Source organism: Homo sapiens, chromosome 6 (genome assembly GCF_000001405.40).
Source record: "Homo sapiens chromosome 6, GRCh38.p14 Primary Assembly".
In the NCBI taxonomy this organism is placed as follows: Eukaryota; Metazoa; Chordata; class Mammalia; order Primates; family Hominidae; genus Homo; species Homo sapiens.
The window spans coordinates 129,374,818-129,401,963 of NC_000006.12; the positions used below are offsets into that span (position 1 = coordinate 129,374,818).

The 27,146-nt window shown below is 37.1% G+C and overlaps 1 protein-coding gene across 2 annotated transcripts in view; it reads left to right on the top strand.

Annotated features, from left to right (window-relative positions):
* The window catches only part of LAMA2 (laminin subunit alpha 2), a 633,429-nt gene that overhangs the window by 491,680 nt on the left and 114,603 nt on the right, over positions 1-27,146 (top strand). For both annotated transcript variants that reach the window (NM_000426.4, NM_001079823.2), the window contains exons 35-38: positions 8,305-8,416; positions 16,674-16,836; positions 18,228-18,438; positions 26,407-26,523. In NM_000426.4, coding sequence (NP_000417.3) covers positions 8,305-8,416; positions 16,674-16,836; positions 18,228-18,438; positions 26,407-26,523 — 603 coding nt within the window. The remainder of the gene's footprint in view (positions 1-8,304; positions 8,417-16,673; positions 16,837-18,227; positions 18,439-26,406; positions 26,524-27,146) is intronic.

A 27,146-nucleotide genomic window follows, 5' to 3' on the forward strand; every position in this document is an offset into this window, starting at 1 on the left:
CGGGTGATCCACCCGCCTCAGCCTCCCAAAGTGCTGGGATTACAGGCGTGAGCCACCATGCCCAGCACTACTGCCAATCTTTGTTATGCTCCTTTTTCTCTGCTTGGTTGGCTCACCAGTCACTTGATACAGTCTTTAGATTTAAGAGCACATGTCAAGGTTGATCCTGCATGACTGCTGTAGGAGCTACCCTCTCTTCTTTAAGGGCTTTTATATTTTATACTCATTGTTTTTAAATGGAGAAATCTAATTCCCTAATATCCCTGGGTAAAGAAGACATTATTCCACCCAAGAACTCATATTTAAAATGTATTTTGATATATTTTAATTCATGTATAAATATAAAGTAAAAAAATTACATAATCATATATCTCTTTCAATGCATTTTGATTTGTTGCCATTTTATTTTACTCACTGGAAGAACCCAAGTTCCTCACATATGAGAATCATGTTTAACATATTCAAACTGCCCTACAGTATGTGTGAAATATTAAGATGCTTTTTGATGATGACTCTACTTACCTCTATAGCTATTGTCCTTAGCTCCTTTCTTTTTTCAGAGCCAAAATTTTTTAAAGACTTGGAGACAAGTCTGTATTTATTTCTCACTCCACTGCTGCCTGGATTTTCACTCCCAGCCCACTACTGAAACTGTTTTTATAAGATAACCAATGACAATCTGGTAACTAAATCCACTGGATACTTATTAATTTTACTTGAAATCTCTGCAGCTTTGATCTTTCCTTCCTTCTTAACATACTGTCCTCTCTCTGTTTTTCTCTTAATTCTCCAACCTTTCATTCTAAGGCTCTTCCTCTCATCATCCCTTCAAAGTCGGTGTTCCTTGGGGACTAGGCCTCAGTCCATGTTTTCCCTCACTGTATAACACTTTCTTTGGTCTTCAATTGCCATGTACAAGCTGTTAATTCATAAATCTATATTTTCAAGGCTGACTTCATTCTCATGCTTTGGTCCTATGTGCCTTACTATGGATTGGACATCTCAAACTAAACTCATCATTTCCTCTTAAAGCCCATTATTTCTCCTGTGTAGAACATCTCAGTGTTTTATCCGCCAGTATATGCCCAGTCTCCCAAAGAGAAATTAGCAGGTTGCCCTTCACTCTACTCCCTCTTTCATCCTTCATCAAATTCAGTTTCCTTCTATGGTGACTCTTTGTAAGCCTTATCCAACTCTAACCTGTTGTTATTTATATGGCAGAGTGAACATTCTAAATTGCAGATCCTATCATGTCATTCTCTTCCTTAAATTGTACTATGGCTTTCCACTTTTTTCAGGATGACATACAGTGCTCTCCCACCATGATCTAATCTCTGCTTCTCTCTCATCTCTCCCCACTACTCATGGTCTGGTCATCTGGACCCCTACGGATTGAGGGTATAAGCCAGAAACCTACAAATTTTCTTTGGTGCCTCTTTCTTCCTCATGATGCTCCTGCTTATCCAATTCATTACCACACACTGGGCTTCCACTTGTGTGTATGGCATTCATCTCTACTACCCCACTCTCATCCAATCTCATATTGTGTAGTTTGGGATTACCACATTTGTTTTTTAGCTGGTCTCTCTGCTTTTACTCTTGTTCTCCTCCAAATCTGTTCTCCGTAACGTAGCCAGAATGAATGTTTGCTATTCCAAATGTGAATACGTCATCGCAGTGCTTACAAACTCTTCCCCTGACTTCCCTTAGGCTCGTAGGATAAAGACCAAAATTCTCCCCTTGGCCACATCTCCCATCACTTGTGCCCCTGGCCATCTGCACTCCAGCCATACTGTCCCCCAGCCACTTTGTCCCACCACAAAGCATTGCCACACATTTCTTTATTTTGCCTTAAAGGTAATCTACCTCTCCCTACATTTTGTTAATTTCTGTTAACTCCAATTTACCTTTCAAATCTCAGCTCGTGAAAGCCCTCTGTGCCATCGCAGGGGTTCCAAGATTCCTCCTGTGCTTATCTTATACCACTATTTTTCCTCTAGTTTGTAGTTATAAATTTATCTACATGATCATTTGACAAATAACTATATAGTCCACCAGACTATAGACTCCAAATGGGCAAGAAACCTTTTTGTTTCTTACCACAGTATCACCAATATTGTACACATAATAGGTGTTAAGTCAATATTTGTTTAATTAATTGTGAATGATTTTAAAAGCATTTGAACAACAAGATGGAAATGTAGACAAACCCAAAATAAACATTTATTTTGCACTCTTTAAAATGTGTTAAAATCAGGCATATATTTATAATTATATTGTTGAATATTTTGTTTTCATTGATAAACACCTCTTAACTATTTATATTCTGTAAGGGGAGAATGCTATGTAGTAGATTGAACTGTATAAAATATTAAAATTTTGTTTCACTTATATTGTATTTTATTGCCTATTGAATATCAAATTTAATGAAAATGAAACATTTCCAAAAGGATGAAACTAGTTTTTAAACGATTTAAGTGCCAATATTATAAGTTTACAAGATTTTATTTATAGTTTTTAAAAGATTTCAACTGCTAACAGTGTTTTTTATTTCTCCTTTTATATTTTTAAAAGATATATATATAATATAAAACAAGTCATATCTTTTTGGTTTGGAACTTTTAAAATTGGCACGTGAAATATTTAGGAAGAAATTCCACATGGAACTGGCTCATTGTCATTCCACGGGGTCAGCTGGTTGCTCCTTCTTTCCTTGTGTGTTGTTGGTCCTTATGGCTTGCCTGATGAGTGCTTCACTACCACTTAGACATATGGAGCTGGTAATATTGGAAGATGACCCTTGAGAGTATCATATAAATGATTTGATCTGAAATCTAATTTTAGCAGGAAACCATATGAGTCCACAAATGCAAAGGTAGACAGTATCTAAGCAATGTTATCTATTCAGTAGTTAGGTTTGCTCCATTAGATTCTAGTTTTAACATAAAGAAGGCAGAAAATGAAACACACTGGTCATATCCAACCAAGAAAATTATGTGCAGATTTTAAGAGGCACAGTAGAACTGCTTGAGCTAAAGCAGGAAAGTAACAGCTACATTGTTCAGAAGTAAATTAACGTGTGCCTAATGGTAATGCATGCTGCCTAGACATAAATACTCTAAAAAACAAAACAAGAAAAAATAGAAAAAGAAATGGGAAAAAAAAAACCTAGTTGAGTGAATGTCAACATAAAAGAAAAGGTAATCAAAGGCAAGAGAGATACAAGATACTGTGTAAGGCATCATTTACAAAGGAACACTGTAAAGATTGCAGAATAGAGGTAAGAGAATGTTAAAATAAGAAAATCCAAGATAGAGAATGAAAGGAAGATTGTACAACATATTAGGATAAATGAGAAGTTATTTGTCAAATACTCAAAGGACAAGATAATAGTGAATAAGAAGAAGGATGACTAAGAGATGGAGATGGTAATTTAATAAAACACAGAAAGAGCCAAACTGAATCAGACAGATAGTTCCTATCATGTAGTATTTAGCATTCATTCATAACATTATCAATAGCCTGTCCTGGGTGAGATTGATTTTTGTGAATTTTGCTTTGGCAGTGATACCACTATCTATCACCACTACCCATAGGTGATAGTGCATTTGTCATAGGCTTCTTTATGAAGTCTCTCGTGGGTATTTTTGACCAGGGTGAATCTTCAACTTAATTACTGTGTAATGAGACATGATTTTTAAAAATATATCTAGATGATGTTCTGATATGATTTTGAAATGTGTTAATTGACTGAAAGTCAAAACTTATATACTTAAAGTATACATTAACTGGAGCAGTGTCCTCCACTCACCTAGAATACTCCAGTTTTTCATGTATTTTACTACTCTTTCTGGATGTTAGCCAAACACAAAATAGTGTTGGGTACAAACAAAATATAAGTCTGTGAGACAAAAAAAAAGTGTATTTCATCTCCAATTCCCTGTACATGTAAGTTCAGATAAGTTACTTAACCTCCTCATACCTTCCTTTTCACCTGTGTAAAAAGAGGGATGATGCCTTCTATATATCTCTAAATTCAGGAAGAGTAAGTGAGACACACGAGAGTGCTGTAAGCCTTTGCAAACATGTATATAAATTTGGCATAACTATTCACAATAGCAAAGACATGGAATCAACCTAAGTGCCCATCAATAATAGACTGGCTAAAGAAAATGTGGTACATACACACCATGGAATACTATGCAGCCATAAAAAAGAATGAGTTCATGTCCTTTGCAGGGACATGGATGGAGCTGGAGGACATTACCCTTAGCAAACTAACACAGGAACAGAAAATCAAATACTGTATGTCCCACTTATAAATGGGAGTTAAATGATGAGAACACATAGACATGTAGAAGGGAACAATGTTCACTGGGGCCTACCAGAGGGCGGAGGATGGGAAGGATGAGAGGATGGAGAGGATTAGGAAGAATAACTTATGGGCACTGGGCTTAATACCTGGGTGATGAAATAATCTGTGCAACAAACCCCATTATGCATGGGTTTTTTTTTTTTAACCTGTGTAACAAATCTGCACATCCTGCACATGTATCCCTGAACTTAAAAGTTAAAAAAATATAAAAAATACAAGTAATTCTGAGGTACAGATGAGCCTGACTGTGTAACTCATCCTTTAGCATGCTAACCCGCATTAAGTTGATGCTTTTGGTGCCGGGAACCTCACGTCTCCTCCTCTTCTGGAATAGCCTAGAGAGGAAGCTCTTCTTCTGTGTTTAGAGGGAAGGTATCTCCTTCAGTAAGCACTGTGCTGGCCCTGAAGAGTCTTCCTACCCTCTTCCTGCCCCCTACTGCCACTCCCACCCCACCAGCGTGGAACTTCGTGTGTATTCAAAGGTCCAGTTTGAATTACTGTGAGGCCAGTGGCTAGAAAGCAGTGTAGTTGGGACTGGAGATTCACATGCCTGGCTCTTCTCCCAAGCTTCAACTGTAGCTCTTGAGCAGCAGCTTCCTCTGAGCTTCTAAAAAATGCCCAGAAAATTGCCCAGCCAACCACATTTCCTGGCAAGCATAGCACCAGGCATATGGTCAGTTTGAGTGCTATTAGATAGGCTTTAGAACTTCCAAGGGATCATTGGTTTGATTGTCATTGTATCCACCAATCACCCAACATCTATGACCCACGACAATTTGCCAGACACTATGCTTGGCACTCTGAGGAATAAAAAGAGTAAGACAGATCCCTAGCCTTTTCTAATCTATCTATCTAATGGAGATATGGCAAAGCACCTAACAAAGTCACTACCCATTAGAGTTGTGAATAGTGGTAATAATAATTATTTTTGAAAATCTAAGAAAAGAGAGCATGTGCTAGAATAGGTAAGGAGGGCTTCACTGAGAAGATGGAGTTGGAATTGAATCTCGAAAGCTGGATTTGTTTTGGATAAGTAGAGAAGAGTTAAGAAGCAAAAGTATGAACAAAATCTTTTTTTGAGAATGTTCCAAAAGGAAGTAGGCAAGAAGAATGGTAATAAGGTTGGCAAGATTGGTTAGGAAAATTGTTTTTTAGTCCTGTATATAACAACTTTAGAGAATATTTACTATAAGTTAGGCATCATACTAGGAGCTGGATATATGATAAACAAAACAGACCAAGTTCTCACCCCCTTAGAGCTTACCTTACAGTTGGAGAGGTTGTCAATAAATAGGTGAGCCAATTACTAAGTAATTCTCAAATCCATGGTGCTATGAAGGAAACGTCCTGCTGCAGGAAGTGTGGAAACCTAGGTAGCACCCTGGGAATGGCCACGCTAAGGAGAAGCACTTAAACTGAAAGCTGATGGGTAACAAGGACCCAGTCTTTACAGGTGTTGAGGAGAAGCTCATTCTAGGTAAAGACAATGGGATACAAGAAGGTGCTAAGAAGGGATGAGTTTTGCATATTTAATATACTAAAACTATGCCAGGGAGGTTGATTGCATAGGGTCTTAGTGCTAATTGTTTTAACTTCTTTCTTATCATGGAGTTTGTAGGATTCTTGACAATTTAGTATTGAAGTAATCATATAATCAATACTAAGAATAAAATGCATGTGAATGATGACTCTTACACATTACTACGTAAATGAAATAACCTGTACAACAGATCATAAGCCAGAGGAAGTTAAGACAATGAATATGATCTTGATCATCCAGAATTTAAAAGAGACAGTGTATGATATACATTTACTTTTTAAAATTTAGACACTTTGAGTTATAAATAAGAATTGGTCCACTTGGTGTGAAATTATGATCTTTTGGTAATACAGAAAATATATTGATGAAGAAAAAGAATATATTTTAAGTTTAAATTATAATGTACATTTTCTGTACCATAAGAGACACTAGTGGTATTGATACATTAATCCGTAAGGTAAGATATTGGAAGATGACCAAAATATAGATCAAGTTCCTTATTATGGTGTTCAGTAATATGTGAAAGTAAGAGTGGTACCATAAAGTTCAGTCAAGTCTAGACTAGAAAAATATCCAAAGCAGTTTAGACTACGAACATCTTTTTTTTTCTTTTCTTTTCTTTTTTTTTGAGACAGAGGCTCGCTCTGTCGCCAGGCTGGAGTGCAGTGGCGTGATCTCGGCTCACTGCCAAGCTGTTGACCTTAGTTAGTGATTCAGAAGTAACATTTAAATAATTGGGTATGAGTATGTGTGTGTGTATGTGAATGTGTTTATGTATATGTGTCTGTGTGTAAAAAGTTATTTGACCCATCAGACCTTTGAGTGCAAACACGTGCAGGAAGCCAAGTTTAAGGAAATTAATGGAACATAATTACAACACTCACCAGAAAAGCAAGGATTTGAGTAACCTAGGGACTGGATGCACAGTTTATCCCAAAAAAATTTTTAAATCCAAAAGTGAAAATAATTCCATTATTAATGTTTTAGAAGAATAAATCCAGAGCATTATAATACTTTGGTTAATACTCTCCAAATTATTGTGTATATGTACTGCAAATTATACAGAAAAAAATTTTAATTTTCCAATGGATTCTTATCCTTTCATCCTTTCATTTGTGATGTTAACACTTGCAGGATGAGAAGTTAGATGATAATAGTTGGACTTTATATTCCTTCATTTGTGCAAAACCTTGAAAACTTTCATAAATTAAACCTCTTGCTGCCCTTGGAAAATCACAAAATGCAGTACAATTCCTCTAGCGTCTTTTACCATGTTCTGTGCTGGCCAGACATTTAGTTCTATTTAAAATCCACTTACGTATATTTTAAATATTAATTCTCTGGCCATGCCTAGTATGCAAGCACTCTGGTACAAGATTCTAGAGTGTTAATATGCTGCCAACTTGGACCTTATTCAAAACTATATTGAGACAGTTTGTGATTCTCTAATTCATTATCTGTAGTTAGACTATCCATATCTTTTTAGTAAAAGAGAAGAAGGCTTATATATTAGCATATGCAACACATAGAAAAATGAAGTATAAACCTTTCAGGGTACTCTAAACCTTGTAATTTTTAAAGAAACAATGTTATACACACACCATTTTTGTTTGACTAAATATGGTATATTTTAACCGTGAACACGTTGAATGCATTCCAGTGTGTCAAATGATATTTTAAATGTAAATAGAGGTGAATGTGCCTGAGAATACTCTTTGGGAGGTGGGGCTGTTTTGGGGTTCTGTTTTACTTTGCTGACACTGCTGCATGATTCTGTGATTAACAAGCATATTTCTGGTGCTATCATATGGAAAAGTTAGCATTTATTCTCCCTTAACATTTTATTGGCATCTTTGATGTGTTATAAAACAGGCATTTACTACTGAGTAGCTAAGCATTTCTCCCTCTTTGTTTCTTTAATTAACGTATTGATCTAAAACAAATCTATAGGATCAAGCTTATTGAGGCAGACAGCCTGTTTGTCTCTCAAGAGATCATTGCTGCACTCCACACACTTTTTCAGTAAATAAAATATGGACAAAACTGCAACATGTGGAGGCTGAAGATTCCATTAAGGACTTTTGGCATCTGTACCTTAAAGATATTTCAAAAATAATTGTGCTTTATTGCTTCTTCTCTGCCATAGCATATAACAAGCGTTTTTTAAAAGACCAAATACAGCTCTCTGATTTCCATTTAATGGAAGAAGTAATAAAGTTTAATTGTATACGTGAGCATGGGGCATCATTTGCAATACATCTGATCAATAATTCATCGATTGCCGTTGGCTCAAAGTAATATTTGAAAGAAAATGCAGCCAGTGGGAGCTTATCTAGCTGTAGCTTCATCATCTCTATTAATTATGTGTTTCCCGAATTTGGATCATTAGGCTACCAAAGTGACAGCAGATGGCGAGCAGACCGGACAGGATGCTGAGAGGACCAACACAAGAGCAAAGTCCCTGGGAGAATTCATTAAGGAGCTTGCCCGGGATGCAGAAGGTATTAGAAAGAATCACATTTTAATCATCATTTCTCCCAACAGAAAAACACAGAAAGGGATGACACAGGACTGGAATTTCTCTTGTTATAAGTGACATCTGTAAAATCAAAGGTAGAGTTTCAAAAAGTAGTGTGGTTAAGATATTCAAGGGTATTATCTGCTGAGAACCTGTGACCTGCAGTGTTAAATTAGCGACAATAGTGAATTAGCGACAATGAGGGCAGAATAGCAGTAAATTCTTGTAACATGGCTATTATAATTACATAAGAATAGGCAACTTTTGTTTTGTTATTGTTTTTATTTGAAAGTATTTAAAGTATTTTTCATTTTCAAGCAAGCTAATGTCATCATTCCACTTGATACATTAAAGCAGCACTTTAGTTTCTCCAAATGGCTTTTCAAATACTGGGGACTGGTTTTTAATGAACATCTGTTGCTTGGGATTTGGATGTGCTACTTTATGAGAAGCTCTGGTGCATTTAGCTCACAATTCTCTAGGAGTTAGTTCTTGCCATCTACTAACATGAATGAGAAAGTGGAAGCCATTTTTTGGCAAAAGCCCAAATTAAGAAACTTAAAGAATACAGATAATGCCCCATCCGCACTCGCCCCCCAAAAAAACCTAGTCCTTAAATATCTGTTAAAATATAATAAACGTGCATGCATGTTTAGAAATTGGGAAAAATGCTTTTTGTTGTTTTTTGCTTGAAGCAGTAAAACATTTTTCTTGCTCTGCAATATTATGCATTTTAGATACTTTGCTTCATAATGTAGCCAAATAAATAAGGATGTGAGATCAACTTCAAGGCAGATTCTGACTGATAATTCTTAGGCATCACTGGCCAAGAAGAGACAAACTCCCAAATGTTCACCACTGCAAGAAGCAACAGGGTTTTAATTTGAGAGCTAATTTGAGGCAAAGGTGTGAGGTTCTGAAACAGAAATTATTTCTGCCAGAAAAATCTCAGTTAATTCATTGTGGTTTATCCTCTGCTAGATGAAGCTGTTGTACTTTCCCTAGTATTATTTTCCATTAATGCTACTTGAAGTGTCCCCCTCCAACCCAAAACAACAACAACAACAAATCCCACTGCAGGTAGAGCACCTTCACTCTGAGCGGATCCCCAAAGGCCCTAGTCAATGCTCCAGGAACTTTCCTTTTCTTTCCATTGACATTTCAAACACCCAACACCTAGCAGCCCATCCTGGGGACTCATTTTCAATTTGTTTCAATCAAACACTGGTATGAGAATAAATGCTAGCATATGTTTTAGTAGATCCTATTATCAACACTGCTTACTTTGTTCTCTGCAATGAACCTTCCATCTCCCACCAAAGAGAGATGCATATTCATGGTTACCTCTTTGGTCAATATGAATATTTGCTTCTTCTGGGTGCCTAGGGCCTCTAGGTACTATTTGTACAATTTGTGGACCAACAGGGGTAGACTGGAGATGGAGATTTATCCCAGGCTTGCTCACCACCCCAAATCCCACGTCTATACACCAGAGAAAGGATTACCCATCACCAAAGGTGTCTCTCGTTCCCTAAATTATGCATAGATCAGGTGGTCTGATTGTGTCTGTCCAGATAGGGCACCCTTTTCTAATTTATGTGAAGTGCCATGTGGGATAGCTATACTTTAGGGAAATAAGAACACCACTCACTTTTGCCTGCAGGCACTATTTGGTAGAATTAATCCAACTGTTAAAATTGAATGAAAGGTCAAATTTAAATTGTACCAGAGCAACACTAAATGTTCATTGAGATGTAATACAAAGCTTGGCAGTTTAATGGAGAAAAAAAGAGAAAGTGGGGGAAGGAAGGGAGGGGAGGGAAGGAAGAGAGGGGAGGGAGGAAAAAGGAAGGAAGGGAGGGAGGGAGGAGAGGGAAGGAAGGGAGGGGAGGGAGGGGAGGGAGGGAGGAAGGAACAGAGGGAGGAAAGGGGAAGGGAGAGAGGAAAGAAGGAAGGGAAAGGAGGGAGGAAGGAAGAAAGGAAATGGAAAGAAGGAAGGAAAGAGGAAGGGGGGGAAAGAAGGAAGGGAAAGGAGGGAGGGAGGAAGAAAAGAAGAAAAGGGAAGGAAGGAAGGAAGGAAGGAAGGGGAAATAAGAAAGGGAGGGACGGAAGGAAGGACTCACCAAAGGCTTTAAAGTAGGTTATACTGTATATCCACACCTCTTTTTCTCTCTCTCTAAACTATAATAATGAGGGATAACCATCAGTACTTTTACATTTTTGTTTGTCAGTTGTAATAAATTGCTGTGGGAAAAGTAAATGCTTCAGACTGACATTTATCTATTTCAGCTTTATGTTTGGATAGATGTACTATTCATCCTATCTTTCATTATGAGTCATGACCTCGTTATAGATAATCACCTTCTATTCATCTAAGGCATTCTTATCTCACTATAATTTTATAATATCTACCGTGCTATGACTCCTGATTAGTTCATAAATAAACTGTTTTATTCCACGCATTATTAGAATTAATGAGTGGACATAGGTAAACCCATTAGTGTTTATTTCCTGACATACAATAGGACTTAATCAATGATAGACACCTTTCCTTCCTGTTTCTCAGATCAGAGTATTACTTTCTATTCTTAATAAATTTACCCATCAGAGGATTTTGTTTTCAGTCTTAGTATGAAAACAGTTTTGCTTCTCCTGAGGAATTTTTACTTACCTTTATAGATACTGTATGCCTCTTAAGAATCCTATTTGTATTCCCTGCTACGCGTAGTCTACTAAGATGCTTAGTAGTGGACTTAGGATGCACTGCATTGAACGTTATGGCATGGTTTTCTGTCTACTAATTCTTTCCCTAATTTATACAACTTTTTTTTTTACCTGTAGTGCTATTTCCTTTTATTTTAATTTTATCTGATATTAGGATTTTTAAAAAATTACCTAAATCCTCCTTTGAATTAAGTTGGAAATAAATAAGTAAATTCCAAAGATACATCTTTTACAATCATTTTCAATACTGTGGGAAAGAAAATATATTGAAGTGATAGTGCATACTTTTGAATAAGAGATGAAAAACACATTCATCTTTAAGAATGCTCAGAGAAGTTCCAGATCCTATTTATACATAGGATCTGGAACTATATATATGTATATAAACATAAAACTGTATGTTTATATATGTCTATAAAGAGTGAAACAGACTTCTATTAAAATGATGCTTCCTTTCCTTTTTTGGTGGGGGAGATTTCTAAGAAAATCATATTGCCTAGCAAGTGATAGATGCCTATGAGAGAAATGGAAAATGACAGCATTTTAAAATTTAACTTTCAGTAGAAAAATAATGGAAATAAAAATTAAACTAGACAGTTCACCATACAAAAATAATGTTAAATGAGGGTAAGTAAAGCGCAGTGAAATAATCTGGAAAATAACTATAAAACTTTAAAACACTAATAATAAATAAATGTTATCCAAATTAAACTGGCAAGTTTTAATGGGCCATGTGTAATTTATCTGTGTCCCGATGAGGCCATATTTTTCTCCAAAACCCATATCTAAAATTTGTTTTTCATAATGAAGATAAAGTAGCACACATACCAAAAACCCATTTGAAAGATGCTCTCATTTAATCCAAAAAGATACTGAAGGCCCATGTCCATTTTGGGGAGCTTGTATTTTTTTTACATAACATGGGTTGCAACAAAAAGCTGGCCATGGAATAGCAGTTTATTCCATAAGCAGCCAATATATTTGCTAAAATGTTTGTTCTTTTGGTCCTAACCACATTGAAATCTTCTGGGACTATTTCAATAACAGTAATTGCAACAATTGATAATATCCAACTGGAAAAAAAAAAACAACCTCATGACTGAGCTGCACAGTGATGTCCTATAGAAACTTTATGGGGTATGTGTTATATGTTTTGATGTTTTTCTTTTTTTTATTCTCATGTTTTTATTTTCCTTTTTACTTTAAGTTCTGGGATGCATGCACAGAATGTTCAGGTTTGTTGCATAGGTATACCTGTGCCATGGTGGTTTGCTGCACCTATCAACCCATCAAAAGAAGACATTTATGCAGCCAACAAACATATGAAAAAAGCTCATCACCACTGATCATTAGAGAAATGCAAGTCAAAACCACAATGAGATAACATATGACACCAGTCAGATTGGTAATTATTAAAAAGTCAGGAAACAATAGATGCTGGCAAGGCTGTGGAGAAGTAGAAACACTTTTACACTGTTGGTGGGAATGTAAATTAGTTTAACCATTGTGGAAGACAGTGTGGCGATTCCTCAAGGATCCAGAACCAGAAATACCATTTGACCCAGCAACCCCATAACTGGGTATATACCCAAAGGAATATAAATCATTCTACTCTAAAGACACATATACAGTATGTTTATTGCAACACTATTTATGCAAAGAGATGGAACCAACCCAAATGCCCATCAATGATAGATTAGGTAAAGAAAATGTGGTACATATACACCATGGAATACTATGCAGCCATAAAAAAGAATGATATCATGTCCTTTGCAGGGATATGGATGAAGCTGAAAGCTTCAGCATCCTCAGCAAACTAATCCAGGAATGGAAAACCAAACACCACATGTTCTCGCTCATAAGTGGGAGTTGAACAGTGAGAACACATGGACAAGGAGGGGAACAACACACACTGGAGTCTATTGGGGGTTGTGGGGAGAGGAAAAGGAAAGCATTAGGACAAATAGTTAATGCATGAGGGGCTTTAAAACCTAGATGATGGGCTGGGCGTGGTGGCTCACTCCTGTAATCCCAGTACTTTGAGAGGCCAAGGCAGGCAGATCACCTGAGGTCAGGCGTTCAAGACCAGCCTGGCCAACATGGCAAAACCCCATCTCTACTAAAAATACAAAAATCAGCTGGGCACGGTGGCATGCGCTATAATTCCAGCTACTCGGGAGGCTGAGACAGTAGAATCGCTTGAACCCAGGAGGTGCGGTCGCAGTGAGCAGAAATTGTGCCACTGCACTCCAGCCTGGGCAACAGAGCAAGACTCCATCTCAAAAAAAAAAAAACAAAAACAAACAAACAAAAAACTGGTTGACGGGTTGATAGGTGCAGCAAACCACCATGGCATATGTATTCCTATGTAACAAAGCTTGCTTTCTTAATACATGATCATTTTGCTAAAGTCATTTTTGTGCACCTTAATGATTGCTTCTTGTTTACAAATGGTTTTAATTTAAAGAAATTATGTATGCCATCCAAAAGATACAGCCATATTTGCCTTTTCCCTTTCTCTATCTGTTGTCATTCTTTTTCCACCAGATTCTTCTCTGCAGAAGTTTAGCTTTGAGACCAGAGCACAAGAGAAATAGTGAGACTCTGTCTCTCATTTTTCCCTTCCTCTATACTGCCTAGGCCCAGAATCTAAATTAGATCAAATTTCAAAAGATATTTCTTATGAAAGCTGATTTATACACGCACACACACACACGCGCGCACACACACATATTCATTTAACAAAGAAAAAACATACAGCTTTAGCAGGTTGGGAAGTGGCATTTATTAATATCATCTTCATTTTAAAAAGTGAGTACAAATTATATCAGTAGTTACTTACATGCTACAATTGGTTAAAGTCAGCTATACAGATAGCATGCACTCAGACTAAAGGATGAGATAGTACCATAGGTAGAGCCAAATCTGCTACTGCTTTCTTGAAATCTAAGAAGCAGAAAGCTTCTTACATTTAATCATTGGTACTCTGGAAGGCTTCCCACCTAGTTTGCTGGACCAGGGAGCTTTCAAACTAATCAGCCTATGGTTACTGTGATTCTGTAACAAAATTGAGACACAGCCTAGGTGATGTATCTTACTGACAATAGTGGTGAAATATTGGGAGGATTCTTTGGCATATGTCAAGGTATAACTGTTAGGCAGTGGGTCAAGAAAGAGCCACCCTCACTAACTTCTAGGAATACAGCACCTGACAATAACTTCTACCACAGGGCTAGGAATGGCCATATTTGTTCTTTAAGACATGTGATTCAAATATTTCTGCTAATTAAACCATGGCTGTCTTAGCCCATTTGGGCTGCTATAATGAAAATATCATAGATTTTGTGCCTTATAACTGAAATGCATTTCTCATTTGTGAAGGCTGAGAGGTCCAAGATCAAGGTGCTGGCTGGTTTGGTGCCTGGTAAGGAGCTGCTTCCTGGTTCAGAGATGGCTGTCTCCTTGTTATAGTTTCATGTGGTAGAAAGGGCAAGGGGGTTATCTGGCATCCCTTTTATAAGAGCACTAATTTCATTCTTGCCCTTATGACCTAATCTCCTCTCAAAGGCTCTGTATTAATCTCTTCTCACGCTGCTATAAAGAACTACCTGAGACTGGGTAACTTATGAAGAAAAGACGTATAAATTGACCACAGTTCTGCAGGCTTAACAAGAAGCATGACTAGGAGGCCTCAGGAAATTTACGATCATGGCAGAAGGCAAAGGGAAAGCAAGGACCTTCTTCACATAGTGGCAGGAAAGAGAGAGAATGAAAGGGGAAGTGCCACATACCTTCGAACAACCTGATCTTGTGAGAATTTATTCACTATCACAAGAACAGCAAGGGGGGAGGTTTGCTCCCATGATTCAGTCACCACCCACCAGGCCCCTCCCTCAACATGTGGGTATTACAACTTGAGATGAGATTTGAGGTGGTCGGTGGGGGGACACAGAGAAAAACCATATCAGGCTCTGCCTCCAAATACCATCACATTGGGAATTAGGTTTCAACATATGAATTTGAGGAGAACATAAACATTCAATCTACAGCATTGGCTATCAGGGTTAAAGTACTGACTACAGGAACTTTTAAACCAAAGACATATATAACGAAAAAAGAATTATAAAGATGCATTGTGGAAAGGGTATATTAGACATTGAAACTCAATTCTTTCTACTATCCCAGTGTTTCTCAAGCTCTAGGGTACATCAGAAGCTCTGAGAAGGCTTGTTAAAGCCCAGATTGCTGGTCCTCACCCCCAGAATTTCTGAGTCTGTAGGTTTGTGGCAGGGCCTGAGAATCTGCATTTCTAATGGGCTCCAAGGTGGTGATGCTGCTGCTGCTTATAGGGGACCACATTTTAGAACCACTGTACTGACCCACCTTCTCACATACCCCTCTGCCTGCTCTGCTTGTCCTGACTATGTACACCTGTTTCAGGAGCTCTGCCCAGTGCAAAACTCTCTCCAAGAATAGAAATTAATTTTCAGGAATCTCTATGTCATAAGGAGATCTTCGGATACACCCTTGAATGGTAGAAAATGCCTCTTGGCCAACCGAGACCCCTCATTCTAGGAGTTTTCAAAGGTAATATTATAGAAATAAGTATTCAGCTGACAAAAGAGTTTGAGAAAACATCTCTCTTAAATTCACCAAAAAAATGTCCTATAGAACACACTCCAGGAAACTTTAGTCTAAAACTAATAATATAACTGTGTAAATGTTTCAATTCACCATTTTAAACTTTTATTTGACGTAGAATTCTTTTCTCAAATGAAATCCTGCCCAGAACATCAGCCTATAAAGCAGACTCTTGGCAGAATAGACATCATTTGTAGAAAACCTGAAGCACCTGGAGAATCCTACGATTCCAAGGAGTACAGTTTGAAACCCCATTTAATGCATAATAAACACAGACCCTTGTGAAGGATGCTATTGCTGGAAAGTGTCCTTGAAGCCTAATTTATAACCCTTCTCCTAGAAGGGTTATAAGTCTAGACCAGTGCTTCTTTCTTCACTCCTTTAAAAAATGAACACAGGAGAACTATGTGGAAATACAAGGGCAGGTTCATTTTCAGAGATCTCATCACTGAGTGTATTTCCACACTCAGTATTTTTAAACTGACTGATAGCCACTGCTATGACTATCTTATCAGCAATGCAGAGCTTGCGTTTCCAGCCTCCAAGTGTTATGCTACAGGTCACTGTTTTTTTTAAACTCTTACCTGAGTATGCTTCGACCTACTTCTTTATTTTAATTCTTTCTTTCTTTTGAGGTTAGAAACACCATGCTTTAATTGCTGTAACCCCCAAAAGAAATATAATATTGAGAAACATATTACATTTCCCTGTTTGTTACTGATTGTTGTCTTAACTGCCTCTGTGGTTCCCAGCAGGAACACTCACGGCAAAATACTCTTCATTTGGAGATGGTGGTGCCCAGCAGATGCTGAATACCATGTTTTCATGTGGCATGTTTGTTTACTAATTTACAAAATTTGTTTTACCCCCTGCAGCTGTAAATGAAAAAGCTATAAAACTAAATGAAACTCTAGGAACTCGAGACGAGGCCTTTGAGAGAAATTTGGAAGGGCTTCAGAAAGAGATTGACCAGATGATTAAAGAACTGAGGAGGAAAAATCTAGAGACACAAAAGGAAATTGCTGAAGATGAGTTGGTGTGAGTAGATGAGTTATTATTTTTTCTTTTGACAAACTGAGATTTCCAGATAATTTACAGTTTTCTAAATTTTTATCACACGTATAAGTAAAAGATGCTTTGTTTTTCCAACCTGGAGATATTTGCTATGTTATCTATCATCTATCTATCTATCTATCTATCTATTTATCTATCTACCATCTATTATTTATTCATTTACTTATTTAATTGTACTTTACCATTGTTCCAAAATGAATCAAAAGCATGTTCTTGCCTACATATAATCAAGTAAATGATCTTTTCTGGTGCTGCTCCTTCTGTAATTAGGCTAATGAGTTTGTTTTGTTAATCATCTGCATTAGGGACTTTTGGACTATCAGTTGATTTTTGTTTTAATAAAAATACCTTTGGATAAACAAAGTTATGACTTTACCATTCATATATTGGCCAACCTATACATTTTATCATCTTAAGAAATGCTGAAAAGAAAAGTCATCAAATAATAAACACCTAATACTTTCAAATAAGAGTTGCGAATATGAGGGTTGGGAAAAGTGATAGTGATTTTACCCATGCTAAAGAACTTTTATGATAACGCACTCAATAAAATAGATACATCTCTACATTCATAGTCAGCTAACTTCAAAGTGGTAGTATTACTAATACTTAAATAATTTATACTAAACCAGCAATATCAGCACACCAGAGAACTTGTTAAAAATACAGATTGTCAGACCCCCTCCCAGACCTCCTGAATCAGAAACTTTGGGGATGGGACCCAGCAAACCATGTATTAACAAGCCCTTCAGGGGATTATGAGGCATGTTAGTTTGAGAATTACTGTCTTTCAAGTATTTAGAGTTTCTTAATGACTCGAAAATTATCACTTTAGAAAAACTAGGTAAGTTAAATCCAAAAACTTCCAGATCAATCAGTTGGAAGAAAAAGAAACATAGATTAAAATTATGCTAGTCTACTAGCATGACAATGACCTAGAATTCTGTTCACAGTTTCTGAGCAAACATAACAATATTCATCATTACATTCAAAGTAATAGAGAAAAGGTCTCAGTACAATGAAACAAGTGGATTGTTTGATTTTGGTATGTGAAGTGAATCTTAAAACTCATTTCATCAATCAGATTCCTAGAATGACATGATTCAAAATGTTATTTTACTTACAAATTTAAAAGGTTTCTTAAAAATCTGTTTCGCTTTTATTTTAATTAATTATAAATGGTCTCAGGTACCAGTTTTCAACTTGATTTAGCACACAGTGAATCTATTTTACATGTTTTCTTATTTTCTCATTCTTTTCATGTTAGCATCTCTTTGTAACATGGTTTAATACCAATAAACCCTAAGGCAGTGACATGAGCTCATTGTCTATTATTGGGCTGGGGGTGGTTACAGAGCTGCAGAAGCCCTTCTGAAAAAAGTGAAGAAGCTGTTTGGAGAGTCCCGGGGGGAAAATGAAGAAATGGAGAAGGATCTCCGGGAAAAACTGGCTGACTACAAAAACAAAGTTGATGATGCTTGGGACCTTTTGAGAGAAGCCACAGATAAAATCAGAGAAGCTAATCGCCTATTTGCAGTAAATCAGAAAAACATGACTGCATTGGAGGTGAGTCTTAGGGGCACTTTTATCTTAATCTCAGAAGGTTGGGGACTGCGGGGGCAGTGTTGAACATGGCTGGACTATTCAAGTTGATGCACATTTACAAAAGTCAAGAGTGACAACTCTGAAAGGGGGCTTCTAAGAAACAGAACAAGAAATGACTTTTTTTTGTTTTTGTTTTGTTTTTAATGACCAGTTACCATCGCCCAAAGAATCAAATAAAATTTTGATAAATTAAACTGTTGAAGATATTTAAGAACACTGTGATACAGTGGAAGAAGTTCTTTACAGGGAGTCAGGCGACCTTGGTCTCAATGACAACTGTGCCACTATCTAGACATACAAATTGGGCAAGTCAATTAATCTGTAAGCATCAGTTCCCCAAATCTACAATAAGTGCATTATACTATAGCATACATATAGGGTATCTTCAAATATTCATATCATATTATTTTGCAGCTTTCCCAAACTAATTCACAAATCTTGTTCAGAGATCTTGCTGCCAAAAATCATAGAAGTTCCCTACACTTTCAAATTCAATCTGAGCACATGACAAATAGCTCAATGAATTGAGACCAGAGCTTGGAAAAATTTTGGTTCCTCTTTTTCTATGCGCTGTGTTCTATGCAAATGATCTTTTAGAAGGAACTAACATGAATAGATCAGGTCTGCGTTATTTTCTCCTCCTTTTCCACACAGATAACAGTTACTTCTCAACTCAAGAAATTATGGGCAGCCTCTATCTTTTTAAGAGTTCTGATGGAACTAGAACTAAAACAGATTCCTCCATTATTTTTTCTTCTTTTTTTTCCAATTTCTTTCTTAATCTTAACATAGTAAATTATCACTTTTCCTAAGAGTAAACTCAGCACATATAACAGCAGCACCCTGTATGTGATATTAATATTTAAACAACAACAACTTTCTCCCCAGAGACAAATTTACCTTTGCTGTTTTCAAAGTATCTGACTCCAACAGGTCAGAAAACAGCAGCAGACCTATACATCTTCTAACACATAATTTCACCGTCAACAGTAACTCAGCACCCTCTGGCATATAGTATGTATGTAGAAATGTTTGTTGAATGACAGTAACAATTGAATACAATCAACCAGGATTTTTTAAATCTATTCATTTCTATTTTCCTTTAGATTAAGTAGTAAGAGGAAGAATTACATTTTTTTAATATATTTTATTTCCGTGTCCCTCTTCTGGGACTTAGCCTTGTCATTCTGGTAGAATATTGAAGAGGCTTACTTTTTTTCTTCACTGATGCACCTAACCAATTTGGAGTCTACTGACATGCTAGCAGTATTCCAGAAATACTGCTGTGAGGCAGGATGCTGGGCCACTGTCCTGTCACAGGCTCCAGCATGATTCACCCTGCTCGGTGACACACCAGCCGTGTGACTTACCCGAAGGTGCACCTGTCTATTTTATGGCAACCGTTTGATAAATGAAAATTACCTGTGTGGAAAGCATAGTAAGTATTTGAGAAATATTTCAAGAAGAGTTATATGGCACAGTCAATAGTACCTTTAGCTATTCGTTTCTTTTAGTGATGTTTAAAACCAGAAGTCATCATTCTTGGGCACCCCTACAAATACCTGGAGCTTATGTATAGTCGGTATTGAAATTCTGAGTGGTCCTGTTTGGATTTTCCTTGTATGTGCCACGTTTAACTAAAGACTTGTTTAAAAGTTACTGGATAAAATAGATAAACTAACTGAATCAATATGAATAAGGCATAGATTATTTATGGTTGCTTAAACCAAATAAATAATTTGGTTGCTGCCAAAATGGCTGAAAATCACATGGGGTGTTTGTTAAGCCAACAGGTTTCATGGGCTCCCACCTAGAGAGTCTGTGTAGGCTGCTCTGGGGTTTGGCCCCATGTGTACATTCTAACACTCTCCCTGGGCTAATCTGATGCCTATACAGGTTCGAGGAAAACTGACACATTGCATCTATTTGATTGAATAATAAGCTGCATTTTAAATAAATAACTCCCTTATAACTGTGTCCACAATGAAGGTAACACAATTAATACCCAACTCAAAAACTTTTTATTTATTTTAAGGTGGCATGTAATTTTCTTTTTAAAAATTTTATCAAGCCTCTAATTCATTCAGGAAACGTGCTAGACACCAAAATTGATTGTGTCAGTGATGAGCCCCCTTAGAGCAGCAGCCTCAGCGTAACCTAGCAACTTGTCAAAAAGACAAATTCTTGGACCCCATCCCTAAATGACCAACTCAGAAACTCTGAGAATGGGGCCCAGAAATCCGTGTTTTAAAAATTCCTCCAGTGATTAAGATGCAGCTTCAAGGTTGAGAACCACGGGTATAAACACTAAAACACCATCTCTGATTACTTCAAGTAACTTGTATTTAGTGGGAGGTACACATAAGCAAACCACTCCATACGCTACCATAATTATCACAGGCGTAAGCAAAGGAGGGAGTCTAAGTCACCCCTGAGTTTAGGAAGAGCTTTGTAGAGGCCCTGACACTTGTGCTAGATCCTAAAGGATAAGCACTGGGTCACAGAAGAATAAAGAGAAGAACATTTCAGAAACTGGGAAAAACATATACAAAGGCATGGAGGAAAGAAAATGACATTTTGGGGGAAAGTTCAGTGGTTTGATAGGCTTGGAAAGAAGACTGCATGTGAACGACTGAAGGGATAGAAAGAAAGAGAAGATAGGCAGAGTGCAGACCTTCAGTTATAAGAGAATCGCATTGTGAGACTAAGCTAAGGAATTGGTTTTTATCCTGAGAGCCATAGGAAGCAATTGAAATATTGCAGTCATGGGTTAAAATAAAATGTTGCAGAATTTGAGTGGCTCACTTAAACTGAATAAATGGTTTTTTATCGGAAAATAGTGTGATATTAGGCTAGAAAAGTAGGCTGGGATAATATTTATCTACATATCTGTCAGGTACCTACCATATCAAGGTACTGTTGGTAACCAGGGTATTTGAGGTTGAATAGAAATGATTCCTGGCCTCAAAGAATTTACAACCTCCTGAAAAATTCAGACATGTCAACCTTTCACTCTACATAATACTATGATAATATTGACTGGGAGATTCAGCAAAAGTTTCACAAAAATAACAGCATCATAGCAGAAGTGGAGAGGAATTGGAAGAAAGACAGAGCAACAGGAACCCCAGCCAGAGCTTTGGAAGTGTAAGGTGATCTTAGGAAGTGTCCAGTACAGCAGAAAAACTTTCAAAAGCTACGTAAAAATCTGTAGCAGAGAAGGCTCTGGAATTTGGAGCCAGATCATAGAAGGCTTTGGATGCAGCCAACTAGATGGTGATGGAGTTGGAAAGGCATTTCCAGCAGTGGAGAGAGGGCTAAGGGAACTGGGGACGTCATGGGAAGAAAAGAGAAGACAAATATTTCAGTGAAGCAAAATAATATGTATTGAGCAGTCTATCCCCAAATCTACCATTATATCCTTGCCAAAGAAGGCAGTGCGGATCAAGTAAAGAGTAAGTTGCTACATAAAGAATACACAGGCCAGCCTGAGCAACATGGTGACACCCTATCTCTATAGAAAAATACAAAAATTAGTCGGGCATGGTGGTGCATGCCTGTGGTCCCAGCTACTTGGAGGCTGAGGTGGGAGGATTGCTTGAGCCCAGAAGTTTGAGCCTGCAGTGAGCTGTGATCATGCCACAGCACTCCAGCCTGGATGACAGTGAGACAATGAGACAGTGAGACAGTGTCTCAAAAAAAAAAAAAAAGAAAAAGAAAATAAAAGAAAACAATAATAGACAGGAAGATAGCTTTTGCAGGTTCCTGAAGAATCTACCACACCAACACACCAAAAAAAAAGAAAGAAAGAAAAAGAAAGTGTCCAATTTGCAAAGCTCTGGAATAAATAAAGATCTAATTAATTACAAGTTAAAAGTAGAAATATAATCAACCTTCATATCCAAACAATAATTGAGCAATTATACTTATGCCATACTTTTTGTAGAATAATTCTCCCTATACATAGGCCTTCTTTCTGTTTCTTAAATACTCTAAGTTTCCTATCTTAGGTATTTTATATGCTACATCATTTTCTATCTGTGCCTCTCTTTGTTTTTATTGTACTCATCTAATCTTTCTTTAAGAATATATTATACATTAATTTACTCATTCATTTTATCTCTCCTCCACACAAGCCATGAGGAACATGTGTTCTTCCTCACATCCCCCAATCCTAGAACAGTATCTAGCAAAGGCAAAACAGATTGTTTTCCGTGAATAAATAAAGTGCCATAGAACAAACCCAGATACTCTATACTTTTGTCAATATTTGTGAGCTCCAAATTTCCATCTTTTCTCGGTTCAAAGCTAGAACCCATCAGTATCTAATCTGAAAACAAGACACCTCTAAAATTTATTTAACCTCATCCCAGCACTCTGGGAGGCTGAGGCAGGAGGATCATGAGGTCAGGAGATCGAGACCATCCTGGCTAACATGGTGAAACCCCATCTCTACTGAAAATGAAAATTAAAAAAAAATACAAAAATAAAAAAAATTAGCCAGGCGTGGTGGCAGGCACCTGCAGTCCCTACTCGGGAGGCTGAGGCAGGAGAATGGTGTGAACCTGGGAGGCAGAGCTTGCAGTGAGCCAAGATTGCTCCACTGCACTCCAGCCTGGGCGACAGAGTGAGACTCCGTCTCAGAAAAAAAAAAAAAAAAAAAAAAAAATTATTTAACCTCTTGATCATCATTTCTGATTGAGTATGCTAAGAAGCACATTTTGATCTTTGCTTTTACAAAAGATTCTAACTCACTACTTTATTGAAATCAAAATATATATAGCTCTTCAATTAACACACGTGTGGAAATATCTTCCCTGTTTCCAGTGGCACAGCATTTTAAATTACCTTGATCCATTAATTCAAACAAGCCATGTTGTAAAAGATTCTTGTGTTTCTGTACATGCTATACTTTAAGTCAGCTCATACAAAAGCTAAGGGCTAAAATTGGCAGTTGTGTAAAAGAATGTTAGACCCTTGGAAGATAAGATATGACTTGTAATCAGGGAGATTGTAATCAGGGACATTGGGACTCTTCCCACATTTGTTGTCTGTGAAGAGTGAATGACATATCAAAACTTCCCCTGAATTAGTGATGGGAGTAGCTGAATGAGCCAAGTGTCAGCAGCACAAGTCCCAGGAATGGACTTCATTTTCTTTTTTCTTTCTTTTCTTTTCTTTTTTTTTTTTTTTTTTTTGAGACAGAGTTTCGCTCTTGTCACCCAGGCTGGATTGCAATGGTGCAATCTTGGCTCACTTTAACCTCCACCTCTCAGGTCAAGTGATTCTCCTGCCTCAGCCTCCCAAGTAGCTGAGATTACAGGCATGCACCACCACACCCAGCTAATTTTGTATTTTTAGTAGAGACGAGGTTTCACCATGTTGGCCAGGCTGGTCTCGGACTCCTGACCTCAGGTGATCCACCTGCCTTGGCCTCCCAAAGTGCTGGGATAACAGGCATGAGCCACCGTGCCTGACCCATTTTTATTTATTTATTAAAAAATATTTATTGAGGAAACTCATCTACATACTAGAGATAGTGATATATAAAACTGTCTTTATGGAATTTGTGTTACAGTGCAGGAGACAGTCACTAAGTCAATAAATAAGCATAAGCTACGACCATAAAGTCTGGATGCACGGGCTGATAAACATAAGTTGTTTACTGATATGTAATAAATGGTATGTTGCATGATATTGCATAATAGATTCAATGTGTTGTCCTTCATTAACAATGTGTAGTTCAACAGGCTGTGCCTTTCTGCTAGTCCCTGTACATGTATCTGTGATGCATTGGTATTTCTGATTTTTATTACCTAATCTTTGTTTTTAGCAACTCCCGGCAAAAGTAATCAAGACGAATCAATCTATATAAAAAAGAAAATAATATTGTCTATGTTTCTACCACTCTGTAGAATATAATTCAGATAAATGGGTTCTAAGAAGAACAAAATAAGGTAATTATAATAGTTAAAATTACAGTGTTACTGGGTGCCAGGCAGTGTTCTAAGCTAATTCTTCTCCAATTTTACAATGTCTATCAATCATGTGGGGTTCTTGTTAAAGTGCAGATTCTGAGTCAGTAGTTCCCAGGAATGGATTGAGATTATGCATTTCTAATGAGCTTCCAGGTGACGCTGATGCTGCTGGTGAATGGGCTGCACATTGAGTAGGGAGGGACTAAACATTTTGTATGAAGGTAAATTACTTCCTTAAGGTTTCATAGCTTGGGAGTGAGCAGAGCTGTGATCCCAAACCAGAAGGGCTGTCACTTGGATGTAGCTTTTAATCACTGTGCCCTAGTACATAGAGAATGATTGAGACAAGGATAGGTGCTATTTTAGATAGGTAATCAGAGGAGTGGCTATTACCAGAATGGAGGGAGGACACAAGCCAAAGAGTAGGAAGAGCACATAGTGGGAATATCTGCAAGTGCAAAGGCTTAGAGGCAGGAACTAGTTGTATGTACCTGGCAACATACTGAATTGGTCGGTGAAGGGAAGGAAAGAAGGGTATGAAATTAGCACTAGCTCAGTGCAAATTTTAAAACTGTGATTTCTATAATAGAAGAGATAGTATTTTCGTAGTCAAGGACCCAGGATCTATCATTAAGTAGACAGGGGTTTAAATCTTAATCACACTGTACTATGTGACCTTAAAGGAATCATTTAATATCTTAGTTCATCTGAGCTGCTATAGCAAGAGACCAAAAACTGAGTGGCTTATATGCAATCAAAACTTATTTCTTATGGTTCTGGAGGCTGGGAAATCCATGATCAAAGTATTGGCAGATTTGGTGTCTGATGAGGGACCACTTTCTGGTTCATAGACACCGTTTTCACTGTGTCCTCACATGGTAAAAGGATGAACAAGCTCCTTCAGGTCTTTTTTATAAGGGCAGTAATCCCGTTTATGAAGTCTCTGCTTCATGACCTGGTCACCTCCAAAGGCCCCACTTCCTAATCCTATCACCTTGAGGATTAGGATTTCAACATATGAATTTTCAGGGGACACAGACATTCAGGCCACTGCCCTTTACTTATTCAATTTCCCACTTATGTAAAAAGTGATCAACATGGGATCCAAAGATTGGAATAACAAAATGCTTACAAACTGTCTGGCACATATTGAGATCTAAATGAATTAGCATTATTGTCTATAGAAAAAAACTATAAGTGGTCAAAGCTTAAAATTATAATTGATGCAGTTAAATCTGTAGGTAGAATGGTGATTTCAGGAATAGGAATGAATCAGAAGTATAAAGAATAAAATAAGTAAAAAATAGACCCCAAATGGAGAAATAGCAATATTTGTCTCTCACTGATTTTACTCTTCTAGGCCAGGATTGAGTTTCATGTACTTTTGAGACAAGCTATATGTTCCAAAGAAAAATTATAATCTATTCTCTCATGAAACAGTCCATTAGGTTGATTCTTCCATGTGATGGTTTCTCTATTTCTTAAAAAGTATTTTCCCTAAGTTTCCTTAAAAATCTCACTTCAAATTTCACAGAACTCCCATTGAATACATCTGCTTATGTTTATGCTCACAAAGTACTCATTTGTATATAGATTCTAGAATTCAATATGTAGTACCAATATAACTATTCAGCACTTATATTTTAGTTAGAAATGGATGCTCCATCTTTCTTTAAAAGTAGTTTTAATTCCTTAACTAGTATCGCATAACTTTTCTTCGCTTGGATGACTTTCTCACAATGAGAAGAAGAAATAACCTGTACAAGCCTCTACATAGAAGAACTCTTCAAGGACTGGCTAAGTAGTTTATATTTTTCTCATCTAGCCACATTTCAACATGATGTACCTTTTTTGCTAAGCTTTTATTCAAACAGCTCAGGAAAGTCAGGAATACAAGGGGTAGGATTTTATGAAAATGCAATTTTGATGTCTTGTTCATAATGGTCTACAGAAAAAGAAGGAGGCTGTTGAAAGCGGCAAACGACAAATTGAGAACACTTTAAAAGAGGGCAATGACATACTCGATGAAGCCAACCGTCTTGCAGATGAAATCAACTCCATCATAGACGTGAGTATTGGGTAAAACTCAAAAGAGAGATGATAATGAATAAATGGGAGCCGATGAGAAAGCTCAGTAATAGAAGCAAATACTAGTACTTGTTTTCTTGTGGAGATAAAATTATTTTTGCATTATTCTACTGTGACCATGCCTATCTATTGGTGACAACTGGAATATCACTTTGTTCTCCCAATGGACATGAGTGTTTGTGTAAGTGTACTCACACATTCACACATATCTGTTTTTGTCCACAGCGATGAAGGACATTTCTTGTTCCTAGAGCAGCACTTACAATCTGCTTCAATATTTATATAACATTAGTTAAAAGACAAATGTAAATTTACAAACAGGCTTTTAACATGTAATGTCTAATGCATTACATAGAGTGATATGTGGTCATAGAAATGCAAATGGCCTAAGAGATCCTAATGACATGTATACCTATGAAGTGGCATTGTTTAAATAGATAGGCTTTTCTTGGTCTAAGTTGGTTTCTTAAATTTCCTAGTCTATTCCATTAAATAATGACTTTAATTCTCTATTCTTTTTGCTATGTTAGTAAGTTTGAAGTTTCATTTTAAAACTAAACATGTGGGCCAGGCACGGTGGCTCATGCCTGTAATCCCAGCACT